The 19,184-nt window shown below is 47.6% G+C and overlaps 1 protein-coding gene across 8 annotated transcripts in view, besides 2 other annotated features; it reads right to left on the reverse strand.

Annotated features, from left to right (window-relative positions):
* The window catches only part of BLTP2 (bridge-like lipid transfer protein family member 2), a 30,720-nt gene extending 11,682 nt beyond the window's left edge, over positions 1 to 19,038 (reverse strand). Inside the window, exons 1-25 of one of the 8 annotated variants that reach the window (NM_001363829.1) lie at positions 18,868 to 19,038; positions 17,937 to 18,066; positions 17,489 to 17,538; positions 16,981 to 17,190; positions 16,748 to 16,866; positions 16,154 to 16,214; positions 15,768 to 15,957; positions 14,439 to 14,562; positions 13,780 to 13,904; positions 13,454 to 13,521; positions 13,194 to 13,339; positions 12,403 to 12,521; positions 12,131 to 12,294; positions 11,715 to 11,973; positions 10,844 to 11,049; positions 10,396 to 10,563; positions 8,396 to 9,488; positions 7,774 to 7,965; positions 7,428 to 7,630; positions 7,162 to 7,280; positions 6,821 to 7,041; positions 5,928 to 6,118; positions 5,699 to 5,798; positions 5,358 to 5,557; positions 2,144 to 2,438 (exon numbers count right to left, since the gene is read on the reverse strand). In NM_001363829.1, the coding sequence (NP_001350758.1) occupies positions 2,144 to 2,438; positions 5,358 to 5,557; positions 5,699 to 5,798; positions 5,928 to 6,118; positions 6,821 to 7,041; positions 7,162 to 7,280; positions 7,428 to 7,630; positions 7,774 to 7,965; positions 8,396 to 9,440 (2,566 nt within the window). In that variant the 5' untranslated portion in view covers positions 9,441 to 9,488; positions 10,396 to 10,563; positions 10,844 to 11,049; ... (12 more) ...; positions 17,937 to 18,066; positions 18,868 to 19,038. Of the gene's footprint in view, positions 1 to 2,143; positions 2,439 to 5,357; positions 5,561 to 5,698; positions 5,799 to 5,927; positions 6,119 to 6,820; positions 7,042 to 7,161; positions 7,281 to 7,427; positions 7,631 to 7,773; positions 7,966 to 8,395; positions 9,489 to 10,395; positions 10,564 to 10,843; positions 11,050 to 11,714; positions 11,974 to 12,130; positions 12,295 to 12,402; positions 12,522 to 12,939; positions 13,340 to 13,453; positions 13,522 to 13,765; positions 13,905 to 14,438; positions 14,563 to 15,767; positions 15,958 to 16,153; positions 16,215 to 16,747; positions 16,867 to 16,980; positions 17,191 to 17,488; positions 17,539 to 17,936; positions 18,067 to 18,867 lie in introns of those variants that run through there. The other 7 variants (NM_001321560.2, NM_014680.5, NM_001363826.1 and 4 more) reach the window with 7 other exon arrangements.
* Positions 1,773 to 1,947: a silencer, noted in NCBI's record as "fragment chr17:26954912-26955086 (GRCh37/hg19 assembly coordinates)". NCBI's record gives its function as "represses an EF-1alpha promoter that drives an FKBP-Casp9 reporter gene in an ReSE screen in K562 erythroleukemia cells {active_cell/tissue: K562}" and the evidence as "EXISTENCE:reporter gene assay evidence [ECO:0000049][PMID:32094911]".
* Positions 18,834 to 19,173: a silencer, noted in NCBI's record as "silent region_8346". NCBI's record gives its function as "represses an Ori minimal core promoter by ATAC-STARR-seq in GM12878 lymphoblastoid cells {active_cell/tissue: GM12878}" and the evidence as "EXISTENCE:reporter gene assay evidence [ECO:0000049][PMID:35858748]".

Raw genomic sequence — 19,184 nt, forward strand, 5'->3', positions numbered from 1 at the left:
TCCAGTTTCTTCCTCTCCAATCCTCCTACACACTACTCCCAGATCTGTCTTCATAAAAGTAAAACAATGACACACCCATGTTCAAAAACATTCAGTAGTTCACCACTGCCTACTGTACAAGGACCAAAAACTACTTAGCCCTATATGAAAGGTCTTTGATGATCTACCCCAGCTTTCCTTTCCAGTCCTTTCTCTCACTCCTCTCCCTTAGTTACTCTCTGTCTACTAAAAGAGACTGTTTACTCTCTGTGATACTGTGAAATATATATTTGGTCTTCCCTGCTTCCTGGCATATAAAATCTAAAATCATTAGTGCCTCCTAAGTGATGTCTTTTTGTGTGCTGAGTTGACTAGTTGCTGGCAGCCCCTAAGTAGCTTCCAGATGGTGGCTGGTCACTGGAAAGACCCAGGCAGGATTAGAGGGTTATAATTTTCAGCCCCCCACCCAACCCACACTTCCTGGGAAGAGAGGGGCTGAAGGCTAAGTTAATCACCAATGGCCAATGGTTTAATCAATCATGCCTACATAATGAAGTCTCCATTAAAAACCCAAAAGGACAGGGTTTGGAGAGCTTCTGGATAGCTGAACACGTAGAGGTTCCTGGGGCATAGCATGCCTGCCTGGGGAGGGCACAGAAGCTTCCCGCCACTTCCCATACCTCGCACTATGCATCTCTTCATCCATATCCTTTGTAATACCCTTTACAGTAATCCAGTAAACATGTTTCCTTCAGTCCTGTGAGCTGCTCTAGCAAATTAATTGAACCCAAGGAGGGGGTTGTGGGAACCCGTTTATAGCCAGTTGGTGAGAAGCACAGATAAAGCAACCTGGAGCCTGTGACTGGCATATGAAGGAGAAGGGCGGGCTTAGAGACTGAGTCGTCAACCTTTGGAATCTGATGCTGTCCCTGGGTAGATAGTGTCAGAATTGAACTGAATTAGAGGACACCCAACTGGTGTCCACTGCAGAATTAATTGCTTGCTTATTGGTTGGGAAAAATTCCCACACATTTGGTCACAGAAGTCTTCTGTGTCAATTGTTTTCGAGTGAGGGAATAGAAAAAACACTTTTGAGTTTGGGTTTTTCCACTCAAGACTCTGCTTTGAACGCACTAGGCTTTCAAACTCCACTCCTACTCAGATTATTCCCTCTGCATTGATTGCCCTTCTACCCCATTTCTACATGTTCAAACCATACTAGGCTTTCAAGGCCTGGCTCAAATGCTACTTCCTCAATAAACCCTCCCCTGATGGTATTCCCCCCTTCACTCCTGTCAGCAATACCTCCATTTTTTTTTTTTTTGAGACAGAGACTTGCTCTGTGGCCCAGGCTGGAGTGCAGTGGTGCGATCTAGGCTCACTGCAAGCTCTGCCTCCCAGGTTCATGCCATTCTCCTGCCTCAGCCTCCCAAGTAGCTGGGACTACAAGCACCCGCCACCATGCACGGCTAATTTTTTTGTATTTTTAGTAGAGATGGGGTTTCACCGTGTTAGCCAGGATAGTCTCGATCTCCTGACCCACCCACCTCAGCCTCCCAAAGTACTGGGATTACAGGCGTGAGCCACTGCGCCCGGCCCCATATTCTTTTTTTGAGATGGAGTCCTGCTCTATCACCTCCACCTCCTGGGTTCAAGCGAATCTCGTGCCTTAGCCTCCCGAGTAGCTGGGATTACAGGTACTTGCCACCATGCCTGGTTAATTTTTTTTGTATTATTTTTAGTAGAGATGGGGTTTTGCCATGTTGGCCAGGCTGGTCTTGAACTCCTCACTTCAAGTGACCCACCCACCTCGGCCTCCAAAAGTGCTGGAATTACAGGAGTGAGCCACTGTGCCCATCCAACTCCCATTTTCTTTTATTTCTCTCTTATGGCATTTACCACTTTGCTTCTTTCCCTTACTCATCTTGTTTTGGCTCCAACACTCCCCTTCTGATTCTCTTCTGGCCATAGGACCAGACCATTTAATGCCCCAACATCACTGTTACTTAATATGTAAGACTTAGGTGGCCTAAGAAGGAAAAATAATAGTTTCACTTCTTTACCTAGATAGAAGCACCATGACTCAGTCCTTTTAAAACTCCTGTCCAAGCCCATATCCATGTTCTAAACCCAAACCCAAAAAGTCTCATCTCCCCGAGCTTACCTCCTGATGACCCCTTATCAGGTTGTCCACTGAAGCTGGGAGTGTTAACACGAGGTGGGGCTGAGGCACTAGTTGGGACACCCCGCTTTGGCTTTTTGGCTGGCATCTGTGGATCAATCTTTAACCCCTTCAGGGCCTCAGTAGAAAGATTACGTTTGAGTACAGCTGCCTTTTTGTACCCATCATATAACCCAAAGGCAATGTCTCGATTGGTAGTTGTCCAGGAAATCCGTAAATCTACTAAGTGCAGCTGATGTGTATGAAAGGTAGGATCCCCATCACGAGCAGAGAGCTCCTAAGAAACAGGAAAAGGACTTCAGGGTAGCATGGAAATTGCCCCCAGTGCCACAGAGGCAGTGATAAAAGTTTGTTGAATAAGAAACCTGTTGGCCAGATGCCATGGCTCATGCCCGTAATCCCAGCACTTTGGGAGGCCGAAGTGGGCAAATCACGAGATCAGGAGTTTGGGACCAGCCTGGCCAACCTGGTGAAACCCCATCTCTACTAAAAATACAAAAAATTAGCTGGGCATGGTGGCTGGCACTGGTAATCCCAGCTACTCAGGAAGCTGAGGCAGGAGAATCGCTTGAACCTGGCAGGTGGAGGTTGCAGTGAGCCGAGATCACACCACTGCACTCTAGCCCAGGCGACAGAGAGAGACGCAGTCTCAAAAAAAAAAAAAAATTCACTGGGCGTGGTGGGGAGACAGACCCTGGAGAAGAAAAACTAAGTGGTCTTGGCTTTTATATTATATTACATTCAAACTATACCTACTGTATTTTATTCTTTATCAAAAAACGTTTTCAGAGTTCCTCTAAAATTTTTTTTTTAAGAAATGGAGTCTATTTTGTCCAGACTGGTCTTGAACTCCTGGCTTCAAGCAATCTTCCTGCCTTAGTCTCCCAAGTAGCTGGGACTACGGGCACAAGCCACTGTGCTGGCCCATTTTATTTTTTAAATATATTTATTTATTTTTATTTATTTATTTGAGACAGAATCTGGTTCTGTCTCCCAGGCTGAAGTGCAGTGGTGTGATTTTTTTTTGAGACAGAGTCTCACTCCATCACCCACGCTGGAGTGCAGTGGCATGATCTTGGCTAACTGCAACCTCTGCCTCCCAGGTTCAAGCGATTCTCATGCTTCAGTCTCCAAGTACCTGGGGATTACAGGTATGTGCTACCACACCTGGCTAATTTATTTATTTTTTATTTATTTATTTATTTATTTTTTGGAAACAGAGTCTCACTCTTGTCGTCCAGGCTGAAGGCAATGGTGCGATCTCAGCTGGCTGCAACCTCCACTTCCCGGGTTCAAGCGATTCTCCTGCCTCAGCCTCCCGAGTAGCTCGGATTACAGGCACCTGCCACCACGCCCAGCAAATTTTTGTATTTTTTAGTAAAGATGGGGTTTCACCATATTGGCCAGGCTGGTCTCAAACTCCTGACCTCAAATGATCCGCCCACCTTGGCATCCCAAAGTGCTGGGATTACAGTCGTGAGCCACTATACCTGGCCTAATTTTTGTATTTTTAGTAGAGACAGGGTTTCACCATGTTGGCCAGTCTGGTCTCAAACTCCTGACCTCGACTGATCCATCTGCCTCAGCCTCCCAAAGTGTAGGGATTACAGGTGTGAGCCACTGCACCCAGCCTTAATGGTGCAATCCTGGCTCACTACAACCTCTGCCTCTTGGGCTCAAGCCATCCTCCTACCTCAGCCTCCTAAATAGCTAGGACTACAGGTGCATGCCACCATGCCTGGCTAATTTTTTTGTATTTTTTGTAGAAACACGGTTTCACCATGTTGCCCAGGCTGGTCTGGAACTCTTGAGCTCAAGGGATCCACCCACCCTGGCCTCCCAGAGTGCTGGGATTACAGGCATGAGCCATCACACTTTGCCTATTTATTTCTGAGATGGGGTCTCACTCTGTCACCCAGGCTGGAGAGCAGTGATGCGGTCATGGCTCACTGCAGCCTCGATTTCCCAGACTCCAGCCATCTTCCCACCTCAGCCTCCCGAGTAGCTGGGACCACAGGCACATGCCACCACACCCAGATAATTTTTTGTATTTTTGGTAGAGACAGGGTTTCCTCATGTTGCCCAGACTGGTCTCAAACTCCTGAGCTCAAGCAATCCACCTGCTTCAGCCTCCCAAAGTGTTGGGATTACAGGCATGAGCCACCTGAGCCCAGCCCCCACTGTTTTTTTTTTTTTTTTTTTTTTTTTGTATTTTGGAGACAGCATCTTGCTCTGTCACCCAGCTTGGAGCGCACTGGTGTGACCTCGGCTCTCTGCAACCTCCACCTCCCGGGTTCAAGAGATTCTCCTGCCTCAACCTCCCAAGTAGCTGGAACTACGGTCATGTACCACCATTCCCAGCTAATTCTTTTGTATTTTTAGTAGAGATGGGGGTTTCACCATGTTGGTCAGGCTAGTCTTGAACTCCTGACTTCAAATGATCCATCCGCCTTGGCCTCCCAAAGTGCTGGGATTACAGGCATGAGCCACCGCACCCAGCCCTCCCCCACTGTATTTTAAATGACTTGAGAATTTCAACTTAAAATCCTTCCCTAATTGGGGGAAAGGCAGTACCAATTTTTTTTTCAGTGTTAGGAAAAAATTTTACTCTATTTCCTAAAGAGTAACATACTATTTTTAGGAGAGAAAGAAAAAGTATTTTCAAAAAGAAGGATGCTGATACAGCTAAACCAAATGAGTTTGTCATAAAGTAATGACATACATGCTTGGAATATATGAGAAACCTTACCAGGGACTTAATCTGCAACCTACTCCTATGGACTTTACTGTGTTCCCCCCAAATTCATATGTTGAAGTCCTAACCCCCAATGTAACAGTATGTGGAGATGGGCCTTTGGGAGGTAATGACATAAGGTCACGAGGGTGGGGCACTCATGACAGAATTAGTGCTTTTACAATAAGAGAAACCAGAGCACTCGTGCACACTTGTGCTCTCTCTCCCTCTCTGCCATGTGAGGACAGACACAAGGCAGCCATCTGCAAGCCAGGAAGACAGCCCTCACCAGAACCCAACCATGCGGGCACCGTGATCTTGGACTTCCCAGTAGCCAAAACTCATAAATAAATTTTTGTTGTATAAACCTCCCAGTCTCTGGTATTTTGTTATGGCAGCCCAAGTAGGCTGAGATACCTACTAATATAAATAAGGTAATAAAGAAAGTGTGTCAGGGAGTACCTCCTCAGCTGTGCGATTGCTATGCCGTTGGTAGGTGAGGGAGGACAAGCTCAGCAGGTGGGTCTTTGTTACCAAGGGATCAAGACAGTGATCAGCATTCTCTTCAGTGGGTGAGGCCATCAGGTGAACGGTCACCTGACTTAGGTCACTCACCATCTGGGTAACACTCCAATCAGAGATAAGGCGCCGCATCACTGTGCCTGCTGAGAAAAAGAGGCACACAGAGACCATGCTGACCAGTTCAGAGGATAGTGTAAGACAGAGATGGAGGAGGGGAATGGAACTGAGAAGGGAAAAACAAGGAACAGGATAGGAGAAATGAAAGGAGTCTTTCATTTTACCTTGAGGTATAAGCCGCTGAGTCCCCCGAGTGAAGACATGGCCCTGACTGCACTCAATCTGGATGCCCCGTTGCTGGGCAAATGAGGCCCAATAATGTACCTGGCAACAAGAGAGCATAACATTAACAAAGGATGGCATGAGAGGGATGATTAAGGGACTCAATATGAGAAACAAGAAAACTAGAAGCAGAATAAAGTGAAGATGTCAGCAGGGACATCAGTGCCTTACCTGCAGCTGGGGAAAGAGGGCTGTATAGGAAAGTTGCTTGTAGTGCTGACCAAGTTTCTTCTTGCTGGGTTTCAGGTTATTGAAGAGCTTTCCCCTGCAGATAGGCCTTGTGACACTTGTCCAAGTTGCCCAGAAGTTTTGCATCCAGCGCAGGGTACTACTATATAGCAGAATTCGGGGCTGGGATATTGCTGCAAAGAGAAAGACAGACATTTCCTAGTTATGGATGAAACACAGAGGTAAAGCTAAATCCTTCCCTTGCTGCAGGTTGTAGAGGTTTAAAAATCCAAAATCCAAACAGCACCTAGCCTCACATTCAGCATCCCCAACTCCCTCTTCTTTCAAGGATCTAAGCTCTCTGCTTTCCCCTACTGCTATGGTCTAAATGTTTGCATCTCCCCAAAATTCATGCTGAAATACCCCTAAGGTAATGATGTTAAGAGGTGGGCCTCTGGGAGGTCACTAGATCATGACGGTGGAGCCTTCATGAATAGGATTAGTGCCCTTTTAAAAGTGGTCCAAGGGAGCTCACTGACTCCTTCCACCATATTAGGACACAGCAAAAAGGCACCATCTATGAGGAATGGGCCCTCACTGACACTGAATCTATCAGCTCTTTTTGATCTTCGACTTTCAAGCCTCCAGAACTGTGAGAGATAAACGCTTGTTGTTTATAAGCTACCAAACTTGTGGTATTACTGTTATAGCAGCCAAAAAGGACTAAGACACCAACCCTTTCCCCTGCCAAAAAACAAAAAAAAAGGTCCTAACCTAGATTCTCCCTTGCCCTTCTCCCCTCCCCTCCCCTCCCCAGAGGGTCAAGCTAAAGTCCCCAGCATCCATGCCCGTCCTCCCAAGCCCTTCCTCCCCACTGCCCCAGGCCCAAGCCTCACTTCCACTGTGCCGAGTCAGATCCATCTTGATGGAGAGATTGAGGTTCTCCGAGCGAAAGGCCCGGTAGGAGTCATGAAGCTGGCCCAAGGGCACCTCAGGCAGGAACTCTGGGGCCCGCAGAGTGACACTATGGTGATCATGGGGGTTCCCATGGCACAGCCACTGCAGGTCCAGTGTCATGCAGAGGTCAGGCAGGTGAAGGAAGCAGCAGTCGTCATACCTGCCTCACAATGGAACCCCAGCCCTCAGTGCCCTGGTCACTCACTTCCCCTTGGCTCTTCCCCCTCCCTCCAACCTGAGCCCCTCATCCCATGGAGGACCCTCCCTTCACTCCACTCACTTAGAGGCTGTTCTCACGTTGATATCCAAGTCACCCTTGAACACAAACTGACCAGGTTTCCAATGAAAAGACAGGTGGCTCCACTCCCAGTGCATATTTTCAGTTGTGTTGTATGGATCCTATGACCACCCCCGAGAATTTGGTGAGATATAGGTAAGAAAACCATCCTCATCTCCCAAATCAGCACCTGTCTCTCTTCCCACATGTGCTATACAGACCTCAACCATACCATCCTGATAGGATAAAAGTATCATGACACCCCTCACCTCAGTGGCCAGCTGGTGCAGGTTCGCCTGTTCAATGTCCATGTGCCAGTCTCCATGGAACAGAAGACGGCTCTTGTCCCACCAGGGCAAAGGTGGGCTGGGGTCAGCTGAGGGCTTGGTCAAGAGGTCCACACACTGGCCAATTAGTGTCCAGGCTGGATCCCAGCATGGGCCCCACACCACTGTGTACTGGAATATTTCCGCTGGGGTAGAGGAACAAAGGCTATAACTTGTTCACAACATTACCCCTCTCTTCCTCCTTCACTCCAGAAGGGTCTCAGCTCACCTCCCATTTCACCCATCACAAACGTCCCTCAGCCAAACCAACTGCCTCATCTCTACTCACAGTGAAAGTCATGGTAGAATTTGAGTGGGGGCATGTTCCTCTCCACTGCCACGTTACCCCACGGAAGCCCCAAGTGCAAGATCTGACGCCGACGGGAGCAAGGCTGACCACTCTGCTCGGTGCCCACAAGTCGACCCATTAGCCGCCAGTCACGGATCTCAAACAGGTACCGTGGATAGTCCCTGATCCGAACTGTTACCAGAGGAAGGGTACACACTGGCTACTCAGGGGCAGTCTGAGCACTCTCGGGCCTATCTTTTTCCTCACCACTATTTTACCCATCTATATTTACAAAGTCAATTGAGAGAACAAGGGCAGGCAGTTGACACAGCAAGCTGAAAAATGACAGTGACCCTGGAGCAGGTGGTTAAGGGCATAGCACTGAGATCCAAGAGACACAATAACCTTAAAGATGACTGTGTTAGCTTTCCCTTTATGTTAGCCAAGCAATTTCACGGTGAAATTCAGGAACAAAGAAAGGGAAGGGAAGCCCACCCATCCCACTCCACCCACCCAAAACGGCACAGTTCCCAATATAACCTAGTTCCTCTGAAATCACTGAGAGCTCCCCAGAGCTCAGCGGGCAAACACGGGGTCTGCAAATAAAGGAAACACTACTTACCCAGAAAGCTCTTGACATTGCACTTGAGCATTCGACACCACTGAATGACAAGATCTAATCCCTCAGGGGGAAAAGGGCTGCCTGGATCAAGCTCTTGAACCTGTTCTACCACATGCTCAGGACCATGGAAGGAGGCATCTGCCAGAGCTACCAGTTCTAGCCCTGCTAAGCTCCAAGTAAGCAGTGCCCGGCGCATGGGTGTGTTGCCATAGAGACGACGGGAACGCTGGATGTAGATTTCAATGTTTTTGCGTTCCAAAGAGGCATAGAGCTCCTCAATTTTGCGGGCAGGCAACAACTCCCCATGCTGCTTCCGAAGGGCGGCCACTTTAGCATCCAGTAGCTGTAGTCTTTTGGCACTCTCCTTACTTTCATCCTTCATCAGCTCGTAGTTATCATGAAGTTTCACCTCAAAAACATCATCCAAGAAAACCCATGAGAAGTGCTCAACCTTTAAGAGTAGATCAGGTGGGAGTGGGACAGGGCTTGGAGAGGCCCAAGCACGAGTCCCTTGATGTAGTCCCTTCAGCCACTTCTGAACTCCCACAGCCTCATCTAGAGTTCGAGAAAAGTCATACTGATAAGGAAACTCCACCGAGACTGAGCCGAAAGAGAGGAGCCAAACACGGTTCCGGAGGGTCTGCAGCGCAGGGAAGGGGTTCCGGTGGAGGATCATCTCTTCCAGCTCAGGTAGCAGCTGCACCTCCACCTCCTTGAAGTTGAAGATACTATTGCCATCAAAGCCAGCAGCCAGCTCTGGACAGTATGCCTGCAGGGAACCTCCATGCCGGCTCAGTGACACACTCTCTGCAGCCAGGGTAATGAACTTGTCCTCAGCTACAAAAGCTGTGAGCTTGGCTGTGCTCACCTCCAGGGTTAGGTTTAGCAGCCGCTTTGGGGGTAATGGCTCAGGGGCACGGCCTTCTAGCTCAGAAGTAGTTCCTGAAGTCTCTAGTGCAAGGGATGGTACAGTCTCAGGAAACACAGTGGCTCTTAGTAGGTCTCGGCACTGTAGAGTGGCCAGGACATGCTGGTACAGGTACATGTGATCTGGGGGGCTCCAAAGTAAGGTCAGCCCTGCACCACACTGAACCTTTAGGGAGCAGAAGAAAAGGATCTGTCAATTACCATGTCACAAAACAGTAGAGATGGCAAGGATTATGACACATGCACACCTGGCTCAAGAACCATCTCCACCCAGAAGTTGTTCCTGAGTAATCACATTAATTACTGCCTTGCTTTGTTCCTGTTAGCACTAATGTGCTGAGCTGACAGTTGATAGTGTCTGACATTTAAGAGCACTTATACTTTTTAAGTTCTCTTCAACTGGATTCTAAATTGTCTGAAAATAGGGGCCATGTGTCTTAATTCTTTGGTATCTACCATAGTATACTCAGTATAGACAGCAGGTACTCAATAAATCATCTGGCTTCATGTTTCTGCTTATGAGTTACCTTTCTATCAGCAACTACACTGTCTAGTAACCACTGCAACAGTCAACTTGAAAAGGTTTCATGAGTTGATTGCATCAATTTAATTCTCAAAATATAGCATAATAAAGTACTGAGCACACAAGTCAATATGGCAGCTGACTTACGTAAAAGTATGCCTCAAGGAGAGAGTAGTGTCTTTGTCAGCTTCTGAATAGCTAAGTGGACAGAGAAAAGTAAAATTCCAGGACATAAAATTCTCAAGTTCTAGTCTCTAAAAAGGAAACTCTTCAGTTTCCAAAGGACGGTGAAGTCTGACAAGGAGGAACTAACGCCCCACCCTCCTCCTAAGAGGGTCCCATGTCCATTTGTTACCCTGAGGATAAAGATACTGGAAAGCCTCTCAAAACCTGCCAGTGCCTCTATCTTCTGACTCCTTCCAGTCTTTTAATGGGCCGAGGGCTTCAGCAAAATAACACCAGATCATTCTTTTTAAAAAGCCCCTTATTTTTCAGAGATGCATAGTGAAATATTTATAGTTGAAATTATATATGTCTGATACGTACTTACCTACTTCAAAATAATCCCAGAGCCTGAGGCAGGGGAAATTGGTGACAGTATAATTAAAAGAAGTTGGTCATGAATTGGTAATTATTGAATCTTGGTATACAAAAGCTTATAAATTCTCTCTAGTTTTGTATGTATTTTAAATTCCACAAAAAGTTAAAAACATACGAGCTAGAAAAAATAAAGAAGATCAGGTGTCATATTTCTCATGAAACCAGTTTCACAACATGAGTTAAAAAGAGAGGCTGGGCGTGGTGGCTCACACCTGTAATCCCAGCACTTTGGGAGGCCAAGATAGGAGGACTGCTTGAGCCCAGTAGTTTAAGACCAGTCTGGGCAACATGTGACACTCTGTTTTGGGAAAAGACAAGAAAAAAAAAAAAAAAGACAGAGAAAGGCTCTAAGCTGAGGAAAAAACCAGCCTGGCCCCACCTCTCCACAGGAACATTACCTCCAGAGAGCGGATGCTGCTGTGATAGGTGATGGAGAGCATGGAAAGGCTGAGCACTGGGGTAGGGATGTCAGGGGCCTTGCAACAGGGTTGCATCTTCTCCGTGACTGATTTCACCAGCGCTAACACAAGTCCTTGAATCCCCACAGTGGACGTCTCTGCACTGCCCAGGATAGTTAGGGTGTCCAGTCGTACCTCTGAAGCACCTAACAACCAGAAACCATGTCAGCCTTGGTTCCCGGCTCTCAAAGGGCAACAATAGTCCTCACTCGCCTTTCTCACTTATTCCCTTAACTATCTTTATTCCTCATGCCTCCCTAAGTTCATTTCTTAGGTTTTAAGTAAACTTTCCCTTTCCCATCTTAACCTAACTAGATTCGGCAGAATCAAAGTTGTTCCTTAACTCCTACAAATTGCACAGAGACATACCATTTACTCTCTAGAACTAAACACACAAGGAAATAAAAAGTTATATGGATCTCTCTTGACTAGATCAAGGCTTTTTCTTATATGTCTTGCTTAGTACTTGCCTTTCATAAGCCCTTAAGAAATACCAAGAAGTCTAATATTTATGCAAGACTTTCAAGCATCTCGTGCCTCTAATTTAGAAAAATTCCAGATAATCAGCTTCATTAAATGAGGAGCAGACTAAACCAACATAATCTGCTAAGGTTACACACTACACACTTCAGTATATTTATTTACTTATTTTATTTTATTTTTTGGAGACAGAGTCTCGCTCGTTTGCCCAGGCTCGAGTGCAGTGGCACCATCTCAGCTCACTGCAAACTCTGCCTCCTGGGTTGAAGTGATTCTCCTGCCTCAGTCTCCCAAGTAGCACACTTCAGTATAGACTCCTTGTCCCACTTACCAACCAAGGCAGAAAGGGTAAACAAGTTCATGTCTTCGACCTTCAAGTCCACCTTCCACAGTAATGACACAGATTCCCCAAATGAAGAGTGCCTAGAGACAGCTGACTTCCCAGATTGTGGACCCATCAGGGATAAGATACGAGACAGACATTGGGCACAGGTATCTGATGCTTCCACCTGAAGTCCTCGAATGGTACAATCAAGAAAAAGGGTATCTGACTGGGTGCTGGACAGGCCCAGAGGCTGGTTATAGCTACCCTAGAGAAGAAGCAGACGGATCCCATTAGAAGTATGCAGGCGCACAGTTTTATAATGCCCTAATGCACTTCCTGCTGCATTAGGATGCTCAGCGCTCTGACGCATGACAGGATGAGGAAAGCTGTGCAGGCCCCTATTCACCAAAGCCCTCACCTACCTGTAGTGTGAAGGAGTCCAGAACAAGTGCCTCACCCCAAACATGCATATTGGGTGGGTGTGGCGCCCGCTGAATGTGGGAGTCACTGCCCACACGCCAGCAGAGGTGGTCCACAGTTAGGACGCCCCGCTGATGGATGCTTTGTGGCCTGAGGTGCTGGTAATCTGAACAAAGGTGAGAAAGAGGGATTGCATGGAGCCACTGTGGCCATCAATTGGGCCTAGCTCCACTAACGGACAGATTCTTGTTCCTATTCCATCTGAGAGCCTTACCCAGAGAGATAGAATTGAATCCCAAGGCAAAAGGTGGTGTATCTCCAAGTTGAATGGAAATGTTGACATTGGAGATGGAGGTGCTAAAGATGATGGGAGCCAGGATTTGGGGGAAGGTTCTGCATAGGAACAAGACATCATTGTTTGGTAAGAAAAGAACTGCAGCTTCCTATCATGGAACAGTTTCTGAAGCTCTCACAATCAGAGTGAGAATTCAGAGTTTTATTGTGATTCTTAGGACGAGACACACCTAGAAGATAAAAGGCTGAACTCATCAGTTTATTGCTACTCTTAATGGTAATCTGCAGGAACCCCAAAAGGATATTAGGTTGACTCATATAAAATTATCATTTTCATAGGCCAAATACAATGAACACCAGCAATACTATACGCTTGAACCTAAAATAACCAAGAAGCATCACTTCTAAACCATAACCTTAAGTTCTCTGTGCAGCACAATAGAAGCACTACACAAAGACATGACTGCCACCTTACAATCAAAGGCAGGCAAGACAAAGACATTCCTTATCATTTAAGTTCAGTTCAACAAACATTTATTTTGTATAAAACACTACACTGAGCACCGAGGACATAAAAACAAAGAGGACAGCATTCTGCTATCAAGGAGTCTAGTCTAATGGGAAAGATATATAAAACAGGATTGCTGTTGAGACTCGGATTTGAGGAGGTCAAACAACCAAATACATATTTAACACAGGATGCCAATTTGGACCAAAAGAATCCCAGAGAATCCAACTGACAAGAAGGTGGCTGAAAAAGATCAGACTGACCTTTTTTTCCTTTGCTTTAGAACAGGTGAACTAGACCCTTGGGTTTCCAGTGCTAGCAGGTGCAGCCAGTGAGAGAATTCCTGGTGCCGGTAGTGAATGATGCAAGTGTTCAGAACTAGGGAGGCTGAGAGGTCAATGGTGGTCACCTGAAATAAGAAGACCAGAACTGTGGGTTTGGGTTTTATTTCACAAACTCAAAACGAAATAATGTAGCGGGAGAATAGAGAAAGGAACAATTCTTGGTACCACAATCATCACACCTGCACACTAGCCTTGAGGGAGTTGAGGCAGACAATGCGTTGGCGACTCTGGGACAACAACAACCCATCTGTAAGAGGCCAGAGGACAGATCAGAGGAGAGCACTGGAAGGGCAAGAGGTAAAACTGGGAGAGGGTCAGAAGCCGGCAAAGGGATCAACAGACTGTCATCAAAACTTGTGAGCTGGGGCTATTTTCTCTCAGTATGTTCCCTCCTTCCACTCCCCAGTTACACTGAGATTAGATTAAGGAGACCATATGGGGCATGAGCAAAGAGAGTATCTAGTCCTCCCATTCTCGCTCAGTACCAGTACCCCGACCCATGAACCTTCCAGCAGCAGTTCAGTGCTCATCTGTGCCATATCAGAGTTTGCTGTGAAGCTTCGAAGGGGCAGCTGATCCTCATCACGGTGGTACAGGAACTGCAGCAGCTTCAGAGTCCAAGTCAGGTGCCTGGACCGAGACAGATTCCAGCTCAGGAAGATGTGGAATGCCATTCCTACTTCTTTTACTTTTATTTTTTAAAAGTAATTATTTTTTGGCCAGGCGCAGTGGCTCACTCTTGTAATCCCAGCCCTTTGGGAGGCCGAGGCAGGGGGATCACGAGGTCAGGAGATCGAGACCATCCTGGCCAACACAGTGAAACCCTGCCTCTACTAAAATACAAAAAATTAGCCGGGCGTGGTGGCACGTGCCTATAATCCCAGCTATTCGGGAGGCTGAGGCAGGAGAATCGCTTGAACCTGGGAGGCAGAGGTTGTGGTGAGCCAAGATCGCACCACTGAACTCCAGCCTGGGCAACAGAGCAAGACTCCGTCTCAAAAATAATAATAATTTTTTTAATTTTTCCCACACTACATGGATGTAACCATTTCTACTTCCTTTCTCCCCGTAGACAAGCTCAGCAAATACTAGGCTGGTTACAGAGATACCAACATACAGCTCCCACTATCACTCTCCCATCTTCTGTGTCAGGAGAGACCTCACCTCTTTTGACTATTCATGGACAATACCACGCTTGTGTTCTCCATCTTAACCTTGACCTGGTCTGGCAGCTGCTGGAGAAGGAATAGGCCAGGCAGAGTTGGCTCAACTAAGTTTTCTGTCACCTCTGAAAATATGAATGAATAACGTAAGAACCATCAATTCTTAACACTCCCAGTTCTCCCGAAATGCCCTGGCCTCTATGGTCAAATCCTCCCACATAAAGTAGGCTAAGCAAATGCCTAAGCTGGATGGACCATAAGGCGAATGCCCCAGAGATCCAGGCACCTGCAGTACTTCTTTCTCCAGTCTCTAAAAACCTAAAGAGTACAAGGAGCAGGTTGGTAAATGAAAAGAATGTGGACCTTAGGGCCAAATAATTTAAACATCATTTTTACTACTGACTGCCTGTATGACTTCAGTCAAGTTACCTAGCTAACCTTCCTAGGCTTCAGTTTCCTTATTTGTGAAATGCTGAGGATTTAGTTAGAGAATATACAGTCATCCTTTGGTATCCTTGGAGCTTTGGTTCCAGGACCCCCTGCAGATACCAAAGTCCGCACATACTCAAGTCCAGCAGTTGTCCCTGTGGGAACTCATGTATACAAAAAGTCAGCCCTCCATATTGGTGAGTTTCATATCCTGCAAATATTGGCATTTTCCATCCACACTTGCTTGTGGATGCGGAACACACAGATATGGAGAGCCAACTGTATTTATTGAAAAAAATCCACATAAGTGGATCCGCACAGCTCAAACCTGTGTTGTTCAGTGGTCAACTGTATATAAAACACATAGTACAAGGCCAGGCATGGTGGCTCACGCCTGTAATCCCAGCACTTTGGGAGGCCAAGGCTGGCGGATCACGAGGTCAGGAGATCGAGACCATCCTGGCTAACACGGCGAAATCCCGTCTCTACTAAAAATACAAAAATTAGCCAGGCATGGTGGCGGATGACTGTAATCCCAGCTACTCAGGAGGCTGAGGCAGGAGAATCACTTGAACCCAGAAGGTTAAAGGTTGCAGTGAGCCGAGATCACGCCATTGCACTCCAGCCTGGGTGACAGAGCAAGACTCCATCTTTTTTTTTAAAAAAAAAGGAAAAAAAAAAAACCCATAGTACAGGTCTAACTCATGATAGGTGCCCACTCAATGCTGGTTCTGCCACTCAGCACAAGCAAATGCCCTATTTCCTCTAACTATCCTTAGGGTCAAAGTCCATGGTGACTAGTGAATCACATCTAAATAAGCAGTGAGACCACTATTTTTTCTACTTCCAAAACAAACCCTGAGAACAAGGCAGCCAAGAAGCTCAATCACTGGGGCTTTACCTGAACAGGGAACAGGCTTAGATGCTAGGCTTGGGCCCTGGCACAGCAGTTGGCTCTGGAAGAGGCCCTCATGCAGTTCAGCATGGAGTGTCCACACATCCACAGTGATAGCAGTGAGATGCCGACTGCTAATGCCCACCTTTAGACACAGGTCCAGGGCCAGTGAAAGCTCCACTAGGCAGGTGTCCTCCTGTGGGGATGATAAGCCTCTAAGGTGTATGTAAGAAAGTTTGGAAGTTTTAGGTCAAAATGTGGTGATCTGGAACACTGGGTACTGACTTGAGGGAACCCCCTAAGGTCAAAGAACCTAGGATGTAAGCCCTAAGCTCCTTCACACTTTACGCCCAGGAGGAAATGAGGCATCTGAATGATCATGGCATACTTACCAGCTGACCACTCTTTAGAACTTTGCTGTTGATCTTACATAAGCTCACCTCACAGATTAGCCTGGGAAAGGAAAAAAATTAAGAGCACTTGGCCTTGCCGGGCGCGGTGGCTCACGCCTGTAACCCCAGCACTTTGGGAGGCCAAGGTGGGAGGATCATGAGGTCAGGAGATCAAGACCATCCTGACTAACACGGTGAAACCTCATCTCTACTAAAAATACAAAAAATTAGCCAGGCGCGGTGGCGGCCGCCTGTAGTCCCAGCTACTCGGGAGGCTGAGGCAGGAGAATGGTCTGAACCCAGGAGGCGGAGCTTGCAGTGAGCCAAGACCGCACCACTGCACTCCAGCCTAGGCAACAGAGCAAGACTCTGTCTCAAAAAAAAAATTTAAAAAAAAGAGAACTTGGTCCCTTTCCTCACCACTTACCTCCAGTCAAGCTCTGGTGGCTAGAAGGGACAAGGCAATTGGAAATGTCTAATCTTAGCATCTCCTCCAACTGCACAGAATGAGAACTTAACACCTTGATAAGGAGGCCCTGAAGCAACTCTGAGGCAAGAATAGGACGGCTAGATCCTCTGCTCCCCAGTGCTTACCTTTTCCCATCACTATCCAAAAGAAATCTGCTTCTACTGATCTGAATATGCCATAAGGACTCAGAGGTATCCACCTTGAGAACCATGATGTTTATAGCATCTACATGAATGGAGAATAGCTGGAAGGAAGAAGCAAGGATGAACAATAATTAATGTTAAGGAACTGCCCTTCCTTTCCAGATGAGAAAGAGGGGCAGCTCTTAGCATTATGCCCTAAAAACAGAAAAATCTACCCATAACTCCAAAGCCAACCATGCCAAAGTACAGTCCAGGATAGCAGGAGAAGTTGTCTCACTTGGCAGAAGATCTTCAATAAGGATGGGCTGAAGGACAGTTCCTTTTGATCCACCCCAGCGCTCTGGGAGAATGGGGCAGACAGGTCAGAAACTTTCTGTAGGTCCGTTCTGATACGCACTTCTCCAAAGCACAATGCCACATAGTGTCTGCCCAGAAGAGAAATCTCACTGCCACCAGGTCCATCCCTCCCATAGCAGTCTATTCCCCACCCTCACATTCACTTTCTCATCCTTCCTAGAAATATAGCTCAAATCACAGAGATTAGTTTCATAGCAGTTATCAATATCTTCCTCACAACACAATGGCACCCAGGCTAACAGGAAGACTTCAGCAACAACCTCCCTTCCTCCTTGGATTGTGATGCCTCTGCAGAAGAGTGTCACTCTGCAAACACCAACTCCAAAGTACTCTTCTAGGGGAGAAGTGAGAATATAGGGTACTCACGGAAGATCATGGCTAAGGAGTTTGCTGGAAATCCACAGGTTATCAATTTCCTAAAACAGTGAGGGAGAAAGCTCTGTGTGCTAGCTGCTAAATAAGCCACGAGCAGCTTGACAAGCCAGGAAATGTTCTGGATTATTAGAATTTCTCTTTCATAGCCATGTTGCCTTGAATCCCATCTTAAATTAGAACAGTAAAATCTTCGATTTCCTGTTATCTTTCTTCTGTATCTTTGTTATGTGCCCTGGACACTCTGTGTCCTACAAACATTTTTAACTGAACAACTTGCAGCGTTCTCCAACTAGCTCTAAGATCATCTTGGCAAAGAAATGGCAAGGCTGGGATTAACTAGAAAAGCCACCAGGATTTCTATTTTTAAAAAAAGGAAATTAAGAGTTTAAATTCAATTGGATCAACCCTACACACATATCCAGAGTTTCCCAGAACTCACCACTGTTTGCTGGTGTTGCTGAAACTTAAGACTGACATTCTGGATCCAAAAAAAGCGGAAGGAGCCAATCTTTAGCTCCGCCTGCAGCTTCCGCTGACACCACTTGGTGGCCAACCGGACCACAAGCCACCTGCAGAAAAATTCCTGTTAATTCATAGGACCTTTTTCCAATGATGGTTTCCCTCACCCCTTGCTGGTCTTTCAAAGCCTTGCAAAAGGTCGTTCCTGAAACTGGATCTGAGCAACTCTCCTTTCTTCCAAAGCACCACTCTGTCATATACATTCAGCCACGCTGATCAAGATCCTAGCTCCCGACTGACCCCTCCACCCAGATGAAACCAGAAACTGCACCCTCTAAGTTGAAGACAAAAACAAAATCCCTCAAATTGTTATGAATCCCAGAGGCAGAGAGAGAAGACCCCAGCAAGAGTCAAAGCGGAGGCGGCTCTGTCACATGTGCCATCACACTCCCCAGAGGGTCTGTCTGTCTCCTGCTCCCACCCTCCAGACAGGTATCCACGAGAAGGCACTTTGAGGTCAGACCCGGCAGCTCGAATGCTGTTCTCCCCAGACCGATGCTGCAGGTGCCCATCGCGCTTGGCGAAAGGGACATGCAGGGGTGGGTGGAGGGGGAAAGGGAAGCCACTGAACCAGGCCCCTTCCTCACACTCCTATTCAGTTCCTGGCCTCAGCATTTCCTCAGACCCCGCCCGCTTCCTCAGTCTCCCCAACTCGCAGCCCATCCCTGGGAGCTCGGGCCACGCGCCTCCTCACGATCCCTCCCCTCGCCGCGCGCCCCCTCCCTCCACCCTACCCACTCTGCCTCACGCGCCTCAGTAAGGCGCGCGCCCCCTCCTCAGTCTTTCTTCCTCCTCTCCGCCCCCTCCCTCCCGCCGCCGCCGCCGCCGCCGGCGCGGCCGGGAACCCTCACCGGCCTAGAAAGAGGGCGCTAAGCGCAACTAGCAGCAAGACCAACAGCGCGGAGAAGAACAGAGGCATTTAGGTCCGGGTCCGGCCCGGCTTGGCCCCGGCCCCCGCCATGCCGGGCCCCGACGCCGGATCCGCGCAGCACCGCCGCGGGCCGACCAGCTGCGCGCGCAGGAGCAACGCTGAGCGAGGACGCGCTGGTGCGCACACGAGCCCCGCCTTCCGCAGCCCGCCAGCCAACCAACGGCCTCCCACCCCAGTCCCGCCCTGTCCTACGACGCTGCAGGGCCGACGGGCTGCGTGCGCGAGGAGCGGGCGTGG

The sequence above is a fragment of the Homo sapiens genome, chromosome 17 (genome assembly GCF_000001405.40).
Source record: "Homo sapiens chromosome 17, GRCh38.p14 Primary Assembly".
NCBI classification, from domain to species: Eukaryota; Metazoa; Chordata; class Mammalia; order Primates; family Hominidae; genus Homo; species Homo sapiens.